Source organism: Homo sapiens, chromosome 1 (assembly GCF_000001405.40).
Source record: "Homo sapiens chromosome 1, GRCh38.p14 Primary Assembly".
NCBI classification, from domain to species: Eukaryota; Metazoa; Chordata; class Mammalia; order Primates; family Hominidae; genus Homo; species Homo sapiens.
Genome location: NC_000001.11, coordinates 156,591,611 through 156,601,499, shown reverse-complemented (window position 1 = coordinate 156,601,499; position 9,889 = coordinate 156,591,611). Strand labels below are relative to the sequence as shown.

The 9,889-nt window shown below is 50.9% G+C and overlaps 2 protein-coding genes across 3 annotated transcripts, besides 3 other annotated features; one reads left to right on the top strand and one right to left on the bottom strand.

Annotated features, from left to right (window-relative positions):
* The first annotated feature begins 20 nt into the window (after positions 1–20).
* GPATCH4 (G-patch domain containing 4 (gene/pseudogene)) lies at positions 21–7,199 on the top strand. Of its 2 annotated transcripts, none has more exons than NM_015590.4 (8): positions 21–91; positions 2,470–2,532; positions 3,006–3,079; positions 3,181–3,273; positions 3,379–3,465; positions 5,022–5,113; positions 5,369–5,419; positions 5,651–7,199. In NM_015590.4, exons 1-8 carry the CDS (start codon positions 61–63, stop codon positions 6,285–6,287), a joined length of 1,128 nt encoding a protein of 375 aa, NP_056405.2. In that variant the 5' UTR covers positions 21–60; the 3' UTR covers positions 6,288–7,199. The 2 variants fall into 2 exon arrangements, with proteins under 2 accessions (NP_056405.2, NP_872620.1); NM_182679.3 differs by having other exon boundaries at positions 2,396–2,532.
* On the bottom strand, positions 7,201–9,724 carry NAXE (NAD(P)HX epimerase). The gene is made up of 6 exons (NM_144772.3): positions 9,514–9,724; positions 9,291–9,399; positions 9,025–9,135; positions 8,830–8,943; positions 7,945–8,092; positions 7,201–7,618 (listed from the first exon to the last, which is right to left on the bottom strand). Exons 1-6 carry the CDS (start codon positions 9,693–9,695, stop codon positions 7,416–7,418), a joined length of 867 nt encoding a protein of 288 aa, NP_658985.2. The 5' UTR covers positions 9,696–9,724; the 3' UTR covers positions 7,201–7,415.
* Positions 8,724–9,570: an enhancer, noted in NCBI's record as "H3K27ac-H3K4me1 hESC enhancer chr1:156561722-156562568 (GRCh37/hg19 assembly coordinates)". NCBI's record gives its function as "activates a minimal SCP1, AML or CMV promoter by ChIP-STARR-seq in naive H9 embryonic stem cells {active_cell/tissue: H9 hESC(naive)}" and the evidence as "EXISTENCE:reporter gene assay evidence [ECO:0000049][PMID:30033119]".
* Positions 8,724–9,808: a biological region, named in NCBI's record as "H3K27ac-H3K4me1 hESC enhancer GRCh37_chr1:156561722-156562568".
* Positions 9,459–9,808: a silencer, noted in NCBI's record as "silent region_1431". NCBI's record gives its function as "represses an Ori minimal core promoter by ATAC-STARR-seq in GM12878 lymphoblastoid cells {active_cell/tissue: GM12878}" and the evidence as "EXISTENCE:reporter gene assay evidence [ECO:0000049][PMID:35858748]".

Below are 9,889 nucleotides of genomic sequence, written 5' to 3'. Positions count from 1 at the left end.
CCTAGAAGGAACAAAACGGCATTTCCGGGAAGATGGCGGCGCACAAGTCAGGTCCGGCACATGTTTCCGCGGAGCGGACCCAGCAATGACGGTAAGGGGCTCCCTTCCCCCGAACGGTGGTAGTCGGAGCCCGGGCTTATTAGCAAACGTGAGAGGAGCAGAGTATTTTTACCCAAGTGGCACTGGGGTAGGAGGGCTGGAATTTAGCCCTCAAGAGCAAGGAAGCCTAGGGAAAGGGCAGCCGGCTCTTTAGGACTGCTGTAAGACGAGTGAACCTGGGGCCACTTCTGAAAACACAGATTGACTGTAGAGGGGACAGTGCCCGAAGTGTGATCACAGGTTTCAGAAAGACTGGGGCGCACAGCTTCTACCCAGTTATCCACTGAAAATCCGGTAAAGCCATTCCTAACTATGCCATTCAGTTCAACAAATAACGACTGAATGTATTCTTGAGTTCTGGCGCCGCGTTACGTGCTCTGGAGTGGCGGAATAAAGCCGGTCTCTTAACTTCCAGGGCATGTAGTTTTCAATTATTGCGACAAGGGTTAGGCTGTGTGTGGTCTTACAGGAGAAAGCACAAAGAGCTGTAAGAGACTGAAGAGTGTAGTGATGAAGAACATCAGTTTTTGGCCGGGTGCCTTGGCTCACGCCTGTAATCCCAGCACTTTGGTAGGTCGAGTCAGGTGGATCACCAGAGGTCAGGAGTTCGAGACCAGCCCCTGGCCAATATGGGGAAACCCTATCTCTACTAAAAATACAAAAATTAGCCGGGCATGGTGGCATGAGCCTTGTAGTCCCAGCTACTCGGAGGCTGAGACAGGAGAATCGCTTGAAGCTGGGAGGTGGAGGTTGCAGTGAGCCAAGATCGCACCACTGTACTCCAGACTGGGTGACAGAGTGAGACTCCGTATCAAAAAAGAAAAAAAAAAGAAAGACAGAGGACCACTTTGGAGTCAGGCGACTTGGGCTCATTCCACCTCCATCATGTAATTCCAGCTCCATCATTTACTAGCCATGTAACCTTAGGCAAGAAACCCAGGCCTTGTTTTCTTCATTTGTAAAATAAGAATAATATCTATCTCACAGGACTATCAAGATTAAATGAGTTAAGCCCACACATAGTGGCTCACGCCTGTAATCCCAGCATTTTGGAAAGCAGAGGTAGGCAGATCGCTTGAGCCCAGGAGTTAGAGACCAGCCTGGGCAACATGGCAAAACCCTGTCTGTACAAAAAAAAATACAAAAATTAGCCAGGCGTGGTGGCATGTGCCTGTGGTCCTAGCTACTTGGGAGGCTGAGGTGGGAGGATTGCTTGAGCCTGGAAGTTTGAGGCTGCAATGAGCCATGATCGTGCCACTGCACTCCACTCCATCCAGCCTGGGCGACAGAGCAACCCTGTCTCAAAAAAAAAAAAAAAAAAAAGATTGACTGAGTTAATATGACAGTGTGGCAATATGTGTAATCCACCTGTTATGCATTAAGTGCTCAATAGGAGTGCCCTTCCTAAGTTGGACACTTTCAAAAGGGGAACTCCAGCCAGACTGAAATACTGCAGTGGTGTGGGAGAAGTGTGTAGCCCCCACACCAAGAGGACAGTGTAAATGCTGAAGCATAAGTACAGGATCTGGTCTCTACCGAGTACCATTATCTTATGACTCAGGTTAATAAGCACCTCATTAGCTTTGTGTTTACAAGGTAATATATTTTGGGAGATACTATGTAGTGGTACAGTACAGATTCTGCAGACAAGCTGCCTGGGCTTGAATTCTACATGTTACCTGTGTGACCTTGAAGTCACTTAACCTTTTTAGGCCTTACTTTACTCATTTGTAAAATAGGCTAATATTTCCCTGAATGGGCTGGGAAGATTAAATGAAATAATCTTTGTAAAGTCTTAGCACATCCTGGCATGTGGTGAGCACACCATAAACTTAGGTATCAGAATTGACACCATTCCTCCTTGACTTCTCTATATGCTCTTTCTGTAGCCAGATAGGGAGCTCCCCAAAGACCAGGCCACCTCCTTCCTCTGTCTCTGGCTCAGGAAAGAGAATTCTTTTTTCTTTCTTTTTAATTTTTTATTTTTTCTAGAGGCAGGGTTTCACTACGTTGCCCACACTGGTCTGGAACTCCTGGGCTCAAGTGATTCTTCTACCTTGGCCTTCCAAAGTGCTGGGATTACAAATGTGAACCACTGTGCCTGGCCGCTTTATTCTTTTTATGAGAGAGGGTCTTGCTATACTGCCCAGGCTGGACTCAAGCAATCCCGCCTCAGCCTCCCATGTAGCTGGGACTACAGGTGTGTGCCACTGCACCCAACTAGCAGAGAATTCTTAACAAGCAGTCAGGATGGAACTGATGGCTGTTTGGGCACTTTCTACTTTCTTCTTAAAAGGATGATATCACCTCTTCTTCTCTGGTGAGAGTCTGAGGATAGAGACTTTTTTCTCACCATGAATGTCACCCCAGAGGTCAAGAGTCGTGGGATGAAGTTTGCTGAGGAGCAGCTGCTAAAGCATGGATGGACTCAAGGTGATCCCCATGGGGCCTCTTCCACATCCCCCAGCTCCCTGCCTACCATCTGCCCAGGGGAAAGCCATCATCCTGGATTACCCCCCCATGTAGTCCATTTAATTAAAGGAGGAAAAGCTAGTTTAAAGGGAAATTTGCAGAAGAAAATTTCTAACTTTCCCAGAAAAGGGAAGAAAGGAAGAAATTTGACAGTGGATAATGAAGAAGTGGTGGTTGGGAGGACTAGGGGAGGGAAAAAGAGATATGGGCTCTCTACCAAAAGAATTTGAAGGAAGAGATAGTTCAGGCTCACACAAAGGCAGGGGACTATATGGAGTGGTACTAGAAAGAAGTGCGCTAGGAGGTCTTCTGAGAGGTACAGAGTATACCCCAATGTCAGGTGTGTGGAATGGCAAGAGGCCTGTGTGGGGGGTGCCTTGTGAGGTCTCACAGCAGGCAGGAGAATAAGCCAAATCGCTCACTGTCCTCTGCAGGCAAAGGCCTCGGCCGGAAGGAGAATGGTATCACTCAGGCTCTCAGGGTGACACTGAAGCAAGACACTCATGGGGTAAGACTGGGTGGACTGAGGAAGGTTAGCATGTGTGGGAGAGGGGACCCTTGAGGGCAGGTGAGGCAGGCACTCAGAGCTCATATTTATTCCCCTGGCAGGTAGGACATGACCCTGCCAAGGAGTTCACAAACCACTGGTGGAATGAGCTCTTCAACAAGACTGCGGCCAACTTGGTAGTGGAAACTGGGCAGGTATGAGCTCTTGATAGATGGGCACATGAAACAGAGGGCCTGGGACCTGTGGCGTAGGCAGTCATGATATGTCACCCATTCACTGGTACTGATAATTCTCTACAGGATGGAGTACAGATAAGGAGCCTTTCTAAGGAGACCACCCGTTATAATCATCCCAAGCCCAACTTGCTGTATCAGAAGTTTGTGAAGGTATTAGAGGCTGTGGGTAACAGAGTCCATCCTTTTTCTCTTCCCTGGTTTCCCTGGGGCCTGAACAGTTGCCTTGTATGCCTTATCAATTCTCAGAACTTTCCTAACATAGTGGGATCCTGTGACCAGCCTTGCTGTTGCTTACTTAGACTGCCCAGACCCTCAGCAGGAATTGAGATCTTCAGGTTCCGTGGATCCTGCCATCTGTTAAGGGAGCAGCAATAGGGCGTGGGAGGTAGGGTACAGTCTCTTAAGTCAGGAGCTGCCAAATTTTGGGGGGGCCAGGGGACATCTAATTCAAAGGACTTAGAAGCCAGAGGAGACCTGAGAGATTATCTGGACCATCCCTGCTTTGCAGATGTGGCTAAAAGGGTGAAAAGTGGTTTGCTGAAGAGCCCACAGCTGGCTAGTAATGGCAAACAGGACTGGAACCCAGGACTTCAGGCCTCCACTTTCTACTGTACCAATAGGAGGAAGCTAACATGTAATGGTCATTATGTGCTAAGGGCTATACATGTTACCTAGCAAATCTTTCCCATTTCTCTACATCTCTGTTACCATCTACTACCCCACTTCGGGCCATCATCATCTCTTGCCTAATTTCTTTCTCCAGCAGCCTCCTAAGAACACCTGTAGTCTCACTCCCCACCCCAACCTTTGTGGAGGATGGACTTCTCCACAAAGCATCCAGTGTTCTCTCTAAAACATAAATGTCATCATGTCACTGGGTCTTGTTTGACCTAGGATGACACAATCCAGATTTATCGGACTGGCTTATATGGCTCTGCATGCCTGTTCCTGCCATCTCCAGCCTCATCTCTTCACTTTTCTCCAGGACCACTACTTTAGCCTAACCATTAGCATAACAGATTCCAATCTGTTTCTTTTCTTTGAAGGTACGACAGTCTTCCATCTTCAGGTTATTGCACATGTTGCTCCCTCTGCTTGGGACATTCTTCTCCCTTTCCCCCTTTACCTTCTGAGTTTCTCTTATCCTCCAGAGCTCAGCTTATACATCAGTTACTTTTAGAAGCCATTCTCTGAAGTCTGAGTTGAGTACCCTTCCTCTATCACAGGCAACACTTCCATCATAATTGCCTATGTAGATTCCATCTGGGCTGGGCCCATCTCATTCTTATTCCACTCTGAATCCCCAACTCCTTGGCCCATAGTAGACTCTCAATTAATCTGATTAAATGAAGGTACTGTGAACAGGTACTATGGTCGGGGTGGAGCGGGGCATCTTTACTGTCAGTCACTGGCACTTGTCCACTGTGAAGACCTGATGAACCAGAGCATTTCCTCTTCTTGTTCTGCTCACCAGCCAGCTGTGGGTGAGAGAGGCCAAAGCTGCTGCACATCCCAGCAGCAGCAGCCCATCTCCTATCCAAGTTCGAGTATGCAGGATGGCACACCTCCCTGTGGCTCCTCAAGGAGCAATGGTGGGGGCTGGCAAACCACTGCCTGGAGCTATAAATTCTTAGGGGGCTTCCACAAGGGAATAGGGATGGTGATGGTGTTGAGAAGGCCTTATCTACCCCCATGACCCCTCCTAGATGGCTACATTGACTTCAGGTGGAGAGAAGCCAAACAAAGACTTGGAGAGCTGCAGTGATGACGACAACCAGGGGTCCAAGTCCCCAAAGATGTGAGACTTCATTTTAGCTCTTGGGGAATGTGGGAAGAGATGTCTTCAGATGGCAAGAGAAAGGGCTAAATCTAATGCTTGACTGGGGGCTTCTTGGGGGTGGGTGGAACTGTGTTGTACTAATCTTTGTATCCCTAGTACCTCAAAAAGTGCCAGGTCCTGAACAAGAATTCAGTGTTGAAGGAATGTTTTAGAAGGAGGAGAGGTCAAGCCTTTCCACCAGGTCTGTTTGTAACTGCTGATCTCCCCTAACAGTCTGACTGATGAGATGCTGCTCCAAGCCTGTGAGGGGCGAACAGCACACAAGTAAGTAGTGGTCAGCTCCTTGAGCTCCCTTTTCTCCCCACCTTTGACCATGGCCTGTGCCACCTCTTGGTTCTTTTTACCCCAGGGAAATGATTCCTATTACCTACCCATCTATTGCCTGAAGATAGGCAGCTCCCCACTCCTACCCTCCACCAACTTTCCCTGCAGGCTTAAGGACTAGGCCCATTTCCCCCGATACCCTCGCTTTGACTTGGACCCTGTCTGTTTCAGGGCTGCCCGTCTTGGGATCACAATGAAGGCCAAGCTTGCTCGCCTAGAGGCCCAGGAGCAGGCCTTCCTGGCTCGTCTCAAAGGCCAGGACCCTGGGGCCCCTCAACTGCAGTCAGAGAGCAAGCCCCCCAAAAAAAAGAAAAAGAAAAGGAGGCAGAAAGAGGAGGAAGAAGCTACAGCATCTGAAAGGAATGATGCAGATGAGAAGCACCCAGAACATGCTGAGCAGAACATCAGAAAAAGCAAGAAGAAGAAAAGGCGACATCAAGAAGGAAAGGTCTCAGATGAAAGAGAGGGTACAACTAAAGGGAATGAGAAGGAGGACGCTGCAGGAACAAGTGGGCTTGGGGAATTGAATAGCAGAGAGCAAACCAATCAGTCCCTCAGGAAAGGGAAGAAAAAGAAGAGGTGGCACCATGAAGAGGAGAAGATGGGGGTCTTGGAGGAAGGAGGAAAAGGCAAGGAGGCTGCAGGCAGTGTCAGGACAGAGGAGGTAGAGAGCAGGGCATATGCTGACCCATGCAGCCGAAGAAAGAAGAGGCAGCAACAGGAGGAGGAGGACTTGAACCTAGAAGATAGAGGTGAGGAAACTTTTAGGTGGTGGAACCAGGGAAGCAGAGAGCAGAGCATGCAGTGATGGAAGAAGCAGGAAAAGCAAGAAGAAAAGACAGCAGCATCAAGAGGAGGAGGACATCTTGGATGTAAGGGATGAGAAGGATGGCGGGGCTAGGGAAGCAGAGAGCAGAGCACACACTGGCTCAAGCAGCAGAGGTAAGAGGAAGAGGCAGCAGCATCCCAAGAAGGAAAGAGCTGGAGTCAGCACTGTCCAGAAAGCCAAAAAGAAACAGAAGAAGAGAGACTAAAGGTCTGGTAAAGGTAGGGCTCAATTGATTGATTTTCAGGAGTTGAAGCCTCAAAGACCAGGGTTGATGCAGGTCTGCAGGTCTTCTGCACCCCCCTCAATGAGGAGTCCCTCCCAGAAAGGAAACTGATCTCTGGGACGTCAGCTGCTGAGAGGAGCAAGCGGTAGTACCACCCCTTAGTTGAGGGAGTCAGCACAGTCCTTTCTGCAGCTTCTAACCCAGGACCATGAACTCAGGTGCCTAGAGAAGCCAGGCAGCTAAAGGACAAGGAATGCTGGGGGCTGTGGGAACAGGAATGCAGATACCCTTTGAAGGAGCATTCCTGCTAAAAGAAGCTGAAAATGTAGACCTATGTGAAGTGCTCTGATTTCTAAATATTGTGAAGGTTAAGAAAAACATAAATTTAGGTCTATGGGCTAGATTTAGCCCACAGTTGCCAGTTTCTAGCGCTACCAAATGAATGAATAAACATGAGCTTGCGCTCCTAGCCTAGAGATAAATCCTGACTGGCATCTCTGTTCCCAGCCTGGGAAGGTCCTGAATACAAATTAGAAGATATTCCTTGGAGGCCTTTGAAGAAATTCCTTCGGTTAACCTCTTTGTAGTCTTGCTACACTGATAAGTAGAAGTAGCTCCCTGTCTGTGTCCCAAATGAATAAGAATTGTGTAAAGGACAGCACAACTCACTTGGCATCTAACAGTCCATTTTCATTGTTTCCAAATACCATAGCAACCTCTTGCCCTTTGTGTTACCCCTAGAGAGATGGCACCCAATCCCCAGGGTTGGTCTCTGACTTCCACCATTCACTGACTTTTATTGCCAGAGGAGCTCCCAGGAATCCACAGTTCTGGAAGAGAGGGGCTCTAAGTCTTTATTGGGAAGAATACCCACCCACCTTCCCTCACTGCAGACGATAGACACACTCGGTGTCAGGGTAGGGTGGCAGGTTCAGCTGGTACTTCTTCTCCAGAGCAGGTGGCACAAAACGACCCCCCAGGTAATGGTAGCGACCGGTAAACTGGGTTGCAGATTTTTTGGGGGCTGTGAGGGATATGAGCAAGTCTGGCTGGATCCCTCCAGCATTTCCCTTCTCCACGTCCCATCCTGAAAAGAGGGTGGTGTTCAGGAAGAGGCCAGATGTCTCGTCCCCTTCTACACCTTAGTTTACCCTAGTCCCAGAGGAGTGGGAAGTCCCCTCAGTTCCCACCTGAGGAACTCTCGTCCAACGAGCTCCACGTACCCTTGGGCCGTGGTCTCTTCATGGGGCCAACATGTAAAGGGGACTTCTGAACACTGTTCCCCAGCCCTGATGGGGGTCCAGAAAGCTGTGTTCTGCCCCTCTAGACTAAAATTATTTTAGACCTGGTGTGGGCAAGAGTCAGGAGGGTAGGGCCCCAATCTCCCCCACCCCACCTTCTGGATCCCAGCACCTGAGGGAATGTCGATGCTGGCAATGGGCACAGTGAGTCCCTTCAGGACACTCAGGATGCTGTGGAACGGTTCCCGAACATCGCCCTTGAAGCTGAAGCCAAAGATGGCATCCACCACCAGCTCATACAGTTCATCAATCGTCATGGGCTGTGGTGGAGCAGGAAAAGGATGTCAGAGCCAGCAGCTGCACAAACAGCCTTAACTGGAGAGGGCTGTCCTCTGCACCTGCAGACCATTCTCAGAGGCACAAGTATTGTGTCTCATTCAGAGGGCAGCCTGAGGCCTAGAGAAAGTGTGAGTTGGTCACTGATTCAGGCCAAATTGAGACCAGACAGTTTTTGTTCTCGGTGCCTGCCTGCCTGCCCACCACTGGGGAGGCTACAGGCTGAGATAGCCTGAGACGAGTCAGGAGAGCCAGATTCTGGTTTCAGCTCTGCCATGATACAATTTAGTGACTTTAAGCAAACCACTTCTCTGCACCTCAGTATCTTCATCTGTAAAATGGGTTAAGGAAAAAAATTACCCAATTTCCCATCCCTTAATCCATGCATCTGCAGGAAGGGTTTCAGATAGGGCAGCCACTCCGGCCCCTGAGGGGTAGATCATGTGTTTACTGCATGCTAGGGCAAGAGGATCTGACTACAGAGTGGAAGGAGGGACCAGGGAGATGAAAGGGCAAGGAAGCTTTAGAGAAGGTGGTGTGTGGGACTCATGGAGCACACTTTATGAAGGAGGAGAAGGCTCTTGCACACTTATTCGAATACCATCCGTTAGGCACCTTCCGTACCAGGCACTAAAATGAGCTCAGCCTGGAAACACGAAGGAAGAGCAGAGCACAGGCAGTGGTTACTGTAGGATGGAGGTATTCAACTGGAGCCACCTACCTCTGCGGGCATTTCCCCAAGGAAAGGGATGTCCATTTTCTGACACTGGGTCACCAATGCAGTGAAGAGGGGCTTGTTAGGCCTTTTGGGGTAATAGATGGTTGGCTCGTAGCCCTAGGAAGAAAGTGGTAATTCAACCCCAGATCCCAGAGCCCTCACGCCCTCCTCCCCCACAGCCCCTCCCCACATACTCACAAAGAGTTTGAGGTGTCGAGCACAGACCAGACCATCTCCTCCATTATTCCCCGGGCCACAGATGACCAGGACAGTAGGGGGGCTCCTGGACATGGACGTGGGGGGATATGCCTGAAGGCAGAGTCAAGGGTGGTTCGGCGGGGTTTCAGGCGGTAATAGACCATATTGGCCCAGCTGTCTCTCCCACCCCTTTGTGCCTAGGCCAGGGGGCTGGGACAGTGACTCCTCCCTGGCTGCTCCCAAAGGTCGAGAGTTGTGCCACTGACCTTGGCGATGGCTGTAGCACAGCTCAGCCCGGCCAGTTCCATAAGTTGGTCCACGCTGAACTGGTATTCGTTAAATAGCTCCTGGTCCACGGCCTGGGCCTCCTCCTGGCTGAGGAAAACCCGCGGCCTGAGTCCCGCCCCTCGTGTTCTCTGTCGCGCAGGTGGCCCGGCCGTCCCAGGCCCCGCCCCGGGGCAGAGCAGGCCACCCGAGACCCGTGCCTACCTCAGGTACTTCACCACCGTGCTCGCCATGACCTCTGAGTCCCAGCGGCCACCCGAGTTCAGCCGCTGCGGTCCCCACCAGGTGGGTCCCGAGCGACAGGCGATGGTCTGGCTTTTGATCCGCGGCACGCGCGAGCCCGCAACCAGCAGCCCGAGGCCCAGCAGCGCCCGCAGCCTGGACATCCAGCTCGCAGAGCGCGCGCCCCCGGCCCGGCCCGGCCCCGGCGCATGTGCGGCGCTCGCCCCGCCCCCGAAGAGGCCGGGCCAGCACGCGCGGATTCCGGAAGCCGCTCGGGGCTGGAGTCTTGGGGTTCTAGCAGCCCTTGGGCTGGGGAGCAGTTCCCACCCGGTCCAGCTTCCCTTCCACTTGGGATTCC